General features: G+C 36.6%; 1 protein-coding gene across 23 annotated transcripts in view; it reads left to right on the forward strand.

The window, feature by feature from the left end:
• Positions 1–12,491, forward strand: part of CNTN6 (contactin 6) — a 311,194-nt gene that overhangs the window by 233,684 nt on the left and 65,019 nt on the right. For 22 of the 23 annotated variants that reach the window (XM_011533590.3, NM_001349351.2, NM_001349354.2 and 19 more), the window contains 2 exons: positions 750–879; positions 3,078–3,228. In XM_011533590.3, coding sequence (XP_011531892.1) covers positions 750–879; positions 3,078–3,228 — 281 coding nt within the window. The remainder of the gene's footprint in view (positions 1–749; positions 880–3,077; positions 3,229–12,491) is intronic. The other variant, NM_001349358.2, reaches the window with a different exon arrangement.

Genomic DNA, 12,491 nt, shown 5'->3' on the forward strand with positions numbered 1-12,491 from the left:
GAACATCTGTTGTTTGGAAGCTGAATATAATGCTGTTCTTTGTTTCAGCATCAGTGAAATTTTCTTCCTGCATGCCTTTTGCATATAGCATTCTGTTTCCTCCAGCCTATTTTCCTTTTCCCTAGAGGATGGTAATACATGCCTTGAAATATTTAGTCTTAAGTTATATTTGTACTATTAATTATGTCACTATGTGCACTCAAAATTGTATTTCTATACCCCACATGGGGTTCTGTAACAGATTTTGGCTGTTTAGGCACACTTTATAGTAGTTTGTAGAAAGGAAGGATTTAGCTACTCCAACTCAAGACTCAATTAGAAAATTATCACATCATCACATTTCAAATGTTTTTGAAACTTTTGGAAAATGGAAAGCCAAGGCAGTGTTCTAGTCATGATATACATGTCTAACATTATTGTTAACCGTGTTTTCCTGGAATAATTAGGACGGTGGAGTATTCCAAATTACTATGTATACCAAATAACAGAAAGTTAACATACATTTTGTGCAAAGTATGTCAATTGTCAAAGAAATGAGATAACATAAAACACACTAGTAACCACTAAAATTATCCTAAACATATTTTCGTTTTTTAAACTTAAAAATGCTGCTCAGAATCTAGTAGTGTATTAATACACCAAATTATCAGATCTCATAGATATACACAAATGTTGTTTAATAACATATCCTGGTTAAGAGAATGCTATATTAACGTACAAGCATCTTTATATGCCTTTTCCTTTATTAGGAGAGAATTCAAATAGAAAATGGGACACTCATCATAACGATGCTGAATGTGTCAGATTCTGGTGTGTACCAATGTGCTGCAGAAAACAAATATCAGATAATTTATGCAAATGCTGAATTGAGAGTTTTAGGTAAGTCGTTTATTTACAACCAACAAATTCAAAATGACGTTTTAACAAGCTATAATTATGCATAATCCCAACCCAATTTTTTTTGTAAATTAGAAATTGCTGTCCCATCAAATAATGGGAAATGTCTAAATTAACTTTTTACAAAATTCAAGGTGGTAATTATTATTCTGCTTGGGCAATGCACTGGGGCTTCAGAAAAAAACCCACCATTGGGTGCATCCAAACCGGAGGAAGCTCTTCCAAAGCTGATTCTAGCATGAATTTTTGAGTATAACTCAAAGAATATCTTTAGGAATATTTTCAGCTGCAAATTAAAAAGTAATAAAAAAATCACAATTCACAGTAACTAAAAGAAACAGTAATTTATTTTATCTCTTAGCAAGAGGGGCATTGGCTGCCGGGCATGGCACCTCAACTTGACAAAATCCTTTACACCTTCCCTTCAGCATCAAAGCCTCATGGTTACAAGATGGCTGCTCTAGTTATAGAAATCAAGTCTATGCTCAAGGCAGAAGAGCGAGGTTACAGAAATAATCACATTTATCTCTTTTATTAGAAAAGCAGAATTTCCCTTAGCTTCCATAGTAAACTTTTTATGTCATTAACTAGAGTTCTGTCACATGACCATCCAGACATCAAGAGGAGGTAGAAAAATAAGTCCCTATAGTGAAAAGTGCTGAGATTAAAGCAATTTGAGAATGATATTTTGGGAAGTCCAACCAGTGGTGTCTGCCACAATAAATGACGCGTTGATAGTTTTCAACCCAAGGGTTTCTTAGTGGTAGGAAGAACAGAGGAGATAAAAGAGAGGAAGGATCAAACAACAAGACACAAAGTTTTATGAGCTTATGGGTGATGAGCACTCATTCATTTGCTCATTCTTTCTATCGCTACTGTTTGATTGAACATTTATTATGTACTGAGCTGTATCAAGATGAAGTGATCTTTATCTTCACTCAACCTATAATTTCAAGGAGAAAAAAGTGTCAGATTTAAAATATGGCAATTCTTATGGCTAAGAATTGAGGAGTTGCTATCGTTGCACATGACAAGTTGAACATAACCTACATTGAGGACATTCCCTTTAATCTAAGATCAGAAGTAAAAACATGCATCAGTAAGGTGAAGGGTAGAGAAGCAACATCTGAAAAGCCCAGAAGCAAGAGAGCATGGCATACCCGAAAGAACTTCAGTTCACTTGAGCTTTAGATTAGAAATGGAGACTGGACACATGGATTCCAACATTCATGAAGTTGGAAAGATTCAGAGGCACCCTGATAGCCTAATAATTTCTTGTCCTTCTGAACTGGCATTTGTTCAACATATATTTAGTGGGGAAAAAACCGACATAGTGATACAGCATTTCTGATTTATTTCAATAGTATTTTATTGCTAATAGCAATAAAATATTTCTGATTTATTTCAGTTGCTAACCACAATACAATACCACTGAAATAAATCAGATTGGTATATATACATATATAAATCACATATATATGTATATATGTGTATATACGTATATATGTATATGTGTGTGTGTTTCTTCAACATCATATGTTCCATTGCTTATATACATATATAATAAATCAGAAACACACATACATATATACATGTATGCATATACATGTATATATATGGATACACATGTATGTGCATACATGTATATGTGTGTGTGTGTTTCTGATTTATCATATGTATGTATATGACATGTATGATCATTGTTTTGGCTGGAATAGACTTTCCTGGTCAGAATTAAAATTCCTTCTTCGGCCTCTTTTGAAACCATCTTCATCCTCTTTGTTGTAAATGCTATTAGAAAAGTGACTTTGTCTAACTTGCCTCCTCTCTACCACTTGCTTTTATTATTGCAATGACCACCAACAAAACAAAAATAAGTTGCATTTATTGAGCCTATACTTTGCGCCAGGCACTATACTATAATTCCCTGCAACTGTTACATCATTTAATCTCCACACTAACTCTCTAAGGTAATATCTTTTGTCATCTTCATTTTACAAACAAAACATAAACTCTAAAATGTTAAGTCAGTATTTGGTCCAAGAACACCTTGAGCAAAGTAACCTGAAAAGAGGATACAGCTATAAATATTAGATTCTGTCTAGCATAGCAAGTCACCCCTGGAGTCACTACATGTTAACTGAGTAATTAAACAATTTTGTCTTTGATTTTGTTTTTAGCCTCAGCTCCAGATTTCTCCAAAAGTCCAGTTAAAAAAAAGTCTTTTGTTCAAGTTGGTGGGGATATTGTTATCGGATGCAAACCAAATGCTTTTCCCAGGGCAGCTATCTCTTGGAAAAGAGGAACGGAGACCCTTAGACAAAGCAAAAGGTAAACAAATCTTTATTTTTAAAAATATTTTTGTTTGTAATATAACATCTTCCAAATTTTTAGGTTTTAGTAGGCCTTTCAAAATTTCCTCTTTTATGATAAAGTCTCATTGGCATACCTAGAGACGCCAGCATTCTTCTCATCATAGTAAAATTGTAAAAAACAAAAGGATCTTATAAAATAAAGACCTGTTTGTATAAGTTAGCTGCAATATTTTCAGTGCATGCACTTGTAATAGATTTTTAAAAATCTTTTAAGACCTTTTTCTACATTCAGTTTGAAGGCTTCCTCCTGAACCAGCCTGCTGAGAAATCAGTGCGAATAACATTTCACAAAGGAGAGAGACACTCATTGGCACACACCTGGTGTTGTGGTTTTTAAATAGTCACACAGGTGTTCACCCCATGACAAAATGAATTCACCACATGAAGAAATGTAGAGAGGTTCCTGTAGAGAAAGAAGAGAGGTTTCCTACCATAATGGATACAGTTGAGAAACCCTAGGTCAGCACTGGCATGTTTTCTAGGAGACTTTGACAAAAGAAAACAAACAAACAAAAAAAAAGACGGGTGTTTTTCTCTACTTGTAATATCTTTTATTCTATTGTACCGTAGAGCCTTGTATACATGAGGTGACTAGACCACAGATGCTGCTCTCTTTTAATGACTCACATGTGTTACTCTATAATCAGATATGCAATTAAATCCTAATGTGAACGAGCCATTGTGCTGAAGATATGAAAATAGTCCCTTTCGTTCAATGAGCTCTTCTTCAGCATCATATGTTCCATGACTTATATGCATACCAGGATGGGCAGGTAAAAGGCCAGGTGAAAGAAAGGACAACTAAAGTGTGTTAAAAAATGACAGTTGTTACTCTTGGAAGAAATGACTGTGACGGACTAGAAAGTGAGTTCCCTACCTAAAAAGGATAGTCACAACTCCAAATTCTGTCAACTGGTTGCCTTGCGGGAAATGAGAACTAGGTTTGTAGAACTTCCAATGTTTCAGAGAAAGCTAGAAGTCTGCATTCTGGTATTGAATCTCCCATGCCAGAAAAAAGTAGCCATAGGATGAATGAAGGGACATCATTTTATCACTTCTAATCCCAAGATTTCATTTGTGGCCGAGGAAAAAAGAGGTGAAAACAAACAAAAGCAGGGGTCTCTGTGGTTTGTGTAGAGTCCCTTTGTGGTTATAACTGCTGCCTTGAAGATCCATTCCATTTACACAATGAAGTGTACATCAGAGAGCCCCTTTCTAGGGCATTCTTTCTTTCCTTATTCTCTGCATTTCTTTACATCCCTGGACTAAAGCTTTTCCCAGGACAGGAATTATGTCACATTTATCTTTGTATGTCCTGTGCCTTGGCACAGAACCAAAACTTAATAAATATCTGTGGAATAAATGAATGAATCAAAAAGGGTGAACATGTAAAGCGTTACCAGCTTTACAGAAAGGCTGTTCTTGGGGAAATCCCTCAAGACATAGGAACAGGTGCTTCAGAACTAAGGTGAAAGAAAAGGTGAAAGGAAACCTGTTGTCCTGACTCAGGTTGGGTCTCTTCTTCTGTGTGCATTGCCTAGGAGATTTGCTCCCAACAGATTTAGATGTGAATTCTTTTTAAATGTTTCCTCATGCATTCCTAAAATCTAATCAAGGTTTGAATACACTGCTGTGGAACAGAAAAACATAAGAGATCCTGCAGTATCAAACACAGCACCTTGTACTGAGGGTCTGGACAAATTGATTAACTGTGCCTCATTTAATAAAGTAACTCACCCAAGGAGCAGAATGATGGCATTTACCTTCCACAAGCTTTAAAGGTCCAAACACGAAGTATGTGGGAACAAGAAAGAAAATTAGGAGGAGAATTTGAGTAAAGCTAAGATAATGAGAGAGAGAAAAAAAAAAGCTAAGATAATAAGAAAAAAAAGCAGGAGGGAAACTGCTTTTTAAAACAGCTCTTCAGGTTTTTGTTTTATTTTGTTTTGTCCCATACAGAATAAATTTGGGGTCATTTTCACCTCACCACAGTTACTAATAATCATATCAGCTCAGCATTGTCTCTCTGTGATTAAGGGAATGAACCCTGTGAGTTCTATTTATACATTATTCTTTCATTCTATCTTTTCATTGCTTCAGGGTTTCACTGCAGGTCTTAACAAAAGAAAACATACATACAAACAAGCAAATTATCTCCTTACTGTGCATTCTTAAAAGTTGAAAATAATTGAGCTCTAGCAGAATGTAGTAATTACAGTCACTACATCTCCACCCGGTAGAGATTACACTGAGCAGTAATTTTCAAAAGGTCACACAGTTAACTCCATGAGTCTATGTCCCTGCACACTTTCTAGCTTGTCCTTTCTTCTGTTGCCATCTGATCGACTGGCTTTATTAAGTGCATGGCTTCAAGCTGTTTGTTGAGAAATACAGCATCTATGCTTCTGTTTGTGTCAGACTATTGCCTTTTTTATAGTCTTATCGTGGGACTTCCAAACAGATTGAGGTAAAAAATTAGAGTAGTGATAAGAAAGAGAGAAAGAAAGGAAGGAAAAAAGGAAGGAAGGAAGGAAGGAAGGAAGGAAGGAAGGAGGGAGGGAAGGAAGGAAGAGAAAGAGGGGGAAAGAAAGAAAGAGAGAGAGGAAGCAGGAAGGGCAAGAAGGGTCACTGCTGTTTACTATAGACGTGGTGTGATATAGTAAAAAGATTTCAGCCCCCACCCTGTTGAGAGCCTGACTTTGGCAAAGTCATTTGTCTTCTATAGAACTTCATATGTAAAATGAATTAGAGGTACTTCATTTTCCTAAAAAAGGAGAGAAAGTCAAATGGTTTCTTCAAGCCTGTTCAGGCCCAAGGTTGATTATTTCTTCTACATCTTTGGTCTGAACCATTACGTGGTAGCCAAATTCTTTTTTCCCTGATCAGAACCCCCTCTTCTTTTTCAAAAGAGTATTGACAGAACAGATCCTAAATCCTAGCAAAGTAGCTACATTTAGCTTTCAAATTGTCATGGCTTTAAGAAGACAATATTAACGAAAGCTTTGGAGAAGACAACATCAAAATAGCAGTTAATTTCACAAAATATGTTTTCTTACATTTGAATACATAAAAAAGTTTATTTGATTGAGTATGTATGTGTGTATTTGTGTGGGTGGGGTGTGGGTAGATGGGTACCTAGGAATTGGCATCAGATTTCCAAAGCAAACAAAATTAAATATATTAGGAGCCAGGGACAGAGTATTGCACATAAAGGTTGACTGGGCAATTTATTTTTAGATTTGATTACAAATGCAAGGGTTATTGCATGTGTACATACACTGTTCAATGCTATATTTGAAAGGAGCACTAGAGATAATGTATCCCATTTTCCGAATTTACAGTGCCAGATCCTAAACTCAAACACAGAACGCTGAGCCCAGTACACATTTTTTAATGCCACACCAGACTGATTATTTCACTCAAATAGCAATATATACATAACTTCTACCATCTCATACCTCTGTTAAAACATGACACAGTTGTATATATATGAAGAATAAAAAAGTCAGATATAGGAAAAAAGTTCAAAATTTTACAATGATTCCAAGTAGAAATGGTTTCTAGTTCTTGACCTTGGAAATACCTATGTGAGGAAATGTACATTTTTAGTTTCTGTTGTAAAACTTCTATATGGTACTGTCTACTTTGAAATTTCATTGTCACTAACTCTTGCAGCCAATAAAGTATAACTACCTAGAGATGGTTGAGAGGGCTCTAAAGAAACCTATTCAAAGTAATCAGACTGAAGTGCTGACTTATAAAAAAATGGTGGCAGTATATATATTTTGACAATTTCTTCTAGTCTTACATGAATTGAAACAGCTTCCATCACACAGCTAATAAGTGAAGAAGCTTAGACTTGGTGCCAAGTCTTCCATCTCTGTATTCACGTCTTTTCCTCTCTATGGATAATGGAGTACACGCTCAGCTCTTCAGTTTTTGAAAGGCTGTTGTCACATGATTCAACGTAATTTGATGTGTTGATAATTCAGATTAAGTTACATTTCTCAATACAGTGAACATGTTTCTTATTAGCCTATGTGCCATAATTGAAGTCTTGGCTGTTTTAAGAGTTCTGTTCCTAAAGCAAGGATCTGTATTTATAGCAGCCTGTCAGAGGAGAAAAGTGTTTCTCGAACCAAAAATAGGTAGATGGCATTACAGAGTCCGAAGACTGCCTGGTTTCCTGCTGGGAATGAATGGTCATGCAACATCTGTCTCATTCTTTTTAGACCCACCAGTGGTTTAGAAATAGCACTTATATTGAAGAGAAGCAAAAGGCATATTCCTGCAGGAGAACCAGGAAGCACTGGGAATTAGAAAACACGGGTTGTGGTCTCAGATCTATCACTGATAAGTGGCGTGACTTGAGTAGAAATGCTAGACTCCTCTTTTTATTTTTTTTTTTTTTTTGAGGCCACTATTTCCTGGATTTATCTTAAGATGAAATAATATGAAAACAACTTTAGGAAATATTAAACACTATATTCATGCAGTGTCTGCTTGCACAGAGATTACATTTTAGAAATCAATAGAGAACCTTAGCCCAAGGGGTTGAAATTGAAAGTTCTATCTTAGTTATAACTTTATATATGTTTTAATGATTTGCTTGGGTGACCAGGTGACTGAGCCAAACACGGCAATTGCTGTGAACTGTCAAAACAGCTAAAATGATTTGGTTGGATGGATTCAGAGTTTACAGAGAGCCCTATCAGCTAGGCTGTAAGCTCCATGAAGGCACCGAGCACCATTCTTTAATTCACCATTATAGGCCTAGCATCCACCACAAACCTGGAATATAGCACACATTCAGTAAATATTTTCTGTGTTGCTAAATTAATAAAAGTTAAAATTTAATTTGTTTAACTAATTTTAGAGATTTTGCAGCTAAGCCAAAAATTTTAATAATTAATAGACCGATGGTATGATTATTCATTTATTAATTTCTTCATTCATTCTGCAAATATTTGCTGAACACCTATTATAACCTAACTGGGTGCTGGGGATAAAGTGTTAAGCCAGATAGCCACATAACATATAACATTCTTCTTGCCCTTTCTTATGATAATGTTTTTCTTTAAAGTGATTTGAAGTCAAAGATCTGGGTTAAAGTCCCAACTCTATTTCTTAGCTGATAACTTCTAGCAAGTCCTTTAACTTCACAGGTTCTCAGCTGGTTCATTTCAGAGAAAATGGTACTTGTCTCTCTGATGAGGTTATAAGAGACTCAGATTTTATGTCCGGAATGACAGGTGAGCTGTACACACACTGCTACATTGGATGTATTTGTTGCTGTCATCGTAACTTGTATGCATATCCCAGTTGTGCATGCTTTTACCTCTGGCAGCCAAGGAACAACCACGGAAAATCAGGATGAATTACAGATTAAGTTTATCTCTGCAAGGCATTCTCAGGCAACTGAGGGAATCAATTCCACATCTGCTAAGTTTGATTAATCACTTCTTTTTTTCCTTGTGGATCTACTTAGCAAGTGAACTGACAGAAATCAAAGTCCTAGATTTGTCCCCTTATGCCCAGTGACTGCTGTCTACCTATTCAGGAATCACCTCCTGAATTTAATAGGAAGTGTTAACCCACTGGAGAGACAGTTCAATGTTGTTCTCTGACAGGCAGCATTAAATACAATTCCTGAATTACCTGGGGTTTGGTCATAGCGGACATACAAGCTATCAACAATAAAAACAAAGAGATGGAGAAAAGAAATGTTGTCCTATTATTGGAAGAATACCATTATACAATTGAATCTGGTTGGGTGCAGTGGCTCATGCCTGTAATCCCAGCACTTTGGGAGGCCAAGGTAGAAGGACTGCTTGAGTTCAGGAGTTCGAGACCAGCCTGGGCAACATAGTGAGACCCTGTCTCTGCAAAAAAATTTTAAAAAGGAATGGGGTGGAACATGGTGGCACACCCCTGTGGTGCCAGCTAATGGATGGGGGTGGGAACGGGTGTTGAGGTGGGAGAATAACTTGAGCCCAGGATGTTGAGGCTGCAGTGAGCCATGATTGTGCCACTGCACTCCAGCCTGGGTAACAGAGGGAGACCCTGTTTCAAACAAACAAACAAACAACAACAACAAAAAAATCCCTGAATCTTTGGTAATTGACAGCATTTTCTCTCATTTTCCTTAAAAAAAAAGCCTACTGCACTTTGCCCAGATTTCTTAAAATCAAATAAATAAAATAAAATAAAATACAGCTAAATGTCAGAAAAAGTCTCATTAATAATGATGATAACCACTTTAAGCACCTTCTACATGCTAGATGGTGTACCAGGCACTTTACATATCTCAAAACATTAAAGCACATTTTTTTTTCATATTCAGATATATTTCTGAGGATCACAATTGTCACCGATTATATGATTAAATTTGTATCATTTTTACCCTAGTAATCTCAAAAAGTTAAACACAAAGGCATTTTTAAATTTACAGAGAATCAAACTGACTCAATTACAGAGATTCTACCCCTTAGCAATTGGTTTCAGAAAGTGATTATATTCCCCAGAATTGAAATGAGCGGACAGCTGGACTCTCTGGAAACCAATTCCGTTACCTTTATCTACTTACTCCAAGTATATATATTTGCAGACAGGTGTTATCAAATCATGGATTCTGTGTGATTTATCCTACAATAATGCTACTGTTAAAACCTGTGTGGCCCTGGACACTTGGCAAATGCATGTACCTTGTGGGAAAGAGTGAACCCATTAGGTGAATTGGAGTCTTATTCAATTATTGAACAAGCGGTGCTTCTTCAATATTTTTGCCTTCAAACCTCAAATTTAGAGCAGACCCACTGCACTTCCACCTGCCTGGCTCCGCAATGCCCAGACACCTTCCTCTTGGACACTATATTCCATTGTGGGAAAACTACACAAGGAAGGTATAAAGATCGTAGGGAAAGTGGAAAGTGGAAGAAGGAAGCCAAAGTAAGAGAGAAGGAAATGGTAGAGAAAGAAAGATGAGAGAAAGGACCAGGGAATTCCCTGTGACAAGATAGAAGTGCTACTTATTGAGCAAGTCACTGGATCTTTCTTTTCTTCATGGGTAAAATGGTCCCCTTGGGAAGACCTGTTTGAAAGCCGTTAGCATAATGCCTGACACAGACAAGGAACAGAAAAAAATTAGTTTGTCTTTATTCTTCTCATTGCTAAGTTATGTGGACAAAGCAGTTCTTCTAGTTACACAGCCATTGCCCAATACTTAGCTATCATTACATTTTCTTCTTGGAGGTTTTTCCAATCATCTGATCTTGTGGAGGCACCAGCTAATGGGAGTCTGGCTGCCTGAATGCAAGACAGCCAATTATATGATTCTTCCTCCCTGTCTGACACTTCTCTACATATTTTACAATATCTACCTTCTAAATTATTACTGTTCCTTTTGCTTTTGCCTTTACCCCCAAGTGCTCAGTCTTAATAAAATATCTCCGTCGCACATGCCTTTTCAAGACAACATTAACCATTATATAGCAACTGCAAAGCAGGCTTCTCTACCCCTTCCTCCTCTTTGCAGAGCTTCCTAATGGAACAAGCAAATAAACTTAATTTTATTTTGTATCTCCAACTACTTAATATAATAGTGCTTAGTACGTCAGGTAGCATGAGTATCAAACAGGCAAATGAACCATATGTTCCCCTGTTTAAGGAAGAATGACAGTCTGCATAATGCCAGGCTTATTACAATCTCCCTTCTGTGCTGCCTCTTTGTAATAAAATTTTAAATTGTTCATACTCAACTCCTGAGAGCCTTGTTAAGGTGAGCCTTTCCAAGGGAATACATGTTGGAGATGTCAAGAGCCATCTGATAGTCTTGCCTGTTTCACATGAAGATGTAACAAGCTAAAATCCTGTGTGTGCCCCTGTCAGTCTTGTTTTCATTTTCCCCTCTTGCCATCCAATTCCCCTTTCTTTATCCCCACTGACCTCCACTGATCTGGGGCACTCACCTTTCACACAGTGCCTGCAGAACCACCCAGATGCCATGGTCTGAAAAAGCTCCGGTTCATTAAAGTTATAAAGCCTGCCTTTAAATCCAGCCTGCCTAACTCAATGTACGCTGTTTTACCCTGCTGCCTTGTGTTGGCCTATTACTGCTGTAGTCCCTCTCCCATGTTTTCGTGACAGGTAAAGCCACCCTTGGTGGCTTTCAACCAAGGGTAAATAGGAGAAAACAAAGAAGTTTCACAAAATAAATAGCATCTTATAAATTATTAAACTGTGTCTTACAACAGAAAATGGGTAGGCTTCCTTGTAGAGTGGCTGTGAATTCATGGGCTGCGATATCAGTCAGTTTCAAATTTGATCATGCACCATAAGAATCTTGTGAAAAATGCAGATCCCAGAGCCATGCCCATGATTTTGATTTAGTAGGTGTGGAATAGGTTAAGGAACCTGAATTTGTGTAAGTTCACTCCCTCTGCCTTCAAGAGAGGCTGAAGTTGTTGAATACCACCTAGAGGAGCACTGGTTTGGTGCACACATATCTACTTAGATAGAAATGTGCTTCATTTTATCTCTGTTCCACCCCAGAACTTTGATTCCTATCCTAGCAGTTCAGCCATTCATTCTATCTCACTGTTGAAGAGATATAAATCCTTAGTTCTCCCCTTTTTGAAAATGTGAATATAATTGGCTCTAGAATGGTGTCCACTTATTTTACCTCTTGCTTCTAATTTCTGAGTGACACTTGTATCTTCAAAATTTTACATAAATATTCAACAGCAATAATTTTATAGACAGAAAAGGTCAATTATTCATGTAATTTATACAAATGACCTTTTGTTCTTGGTTTGATTTTTGAGAAAAGAAGTGGTTACTTGATAAATTTTAAAGTATAATGTCCTTTTTTGTTTACTTAAAAAGAAAATGGTTGATGACAGATCTTTGTCACACCCACACCTTCTAATGCCAGTGAGTGTATTTAAAAAAATAAATAAAAATAAATAATTAGAAAAAGCATTGCTGTCTATGACAATCCAGTAGAAGAAATAAAAGCTGGAGTAATAGTATAGAAATCAGTCTCATTAAAACCTTCCAAACAAGCAGTGAAGCTGTCAGAGCACTCTTTTTTTTTTAAGCCACTGACTAGAATTTTTCAATTTTTTCTTTTTTTCATAGTAGAACTTTTTAAATTTTTTTTCAAATGAAATGTATGCAAGAAAACCTTTCATTCCACAGATAAAATTGAACTAATCTGGC

This window comes from Homo sapiens, chromosome 3 (genome assembly GCF_000001405.40).
Source record: "Homo sapiens chromosome 3, GRCh38.p14 Primary Assembly".
NCBI lineage: Eukaryota > Metazoa > Chordata > Mammalia > Primates > Hominidae > Homo > Homo sapiens.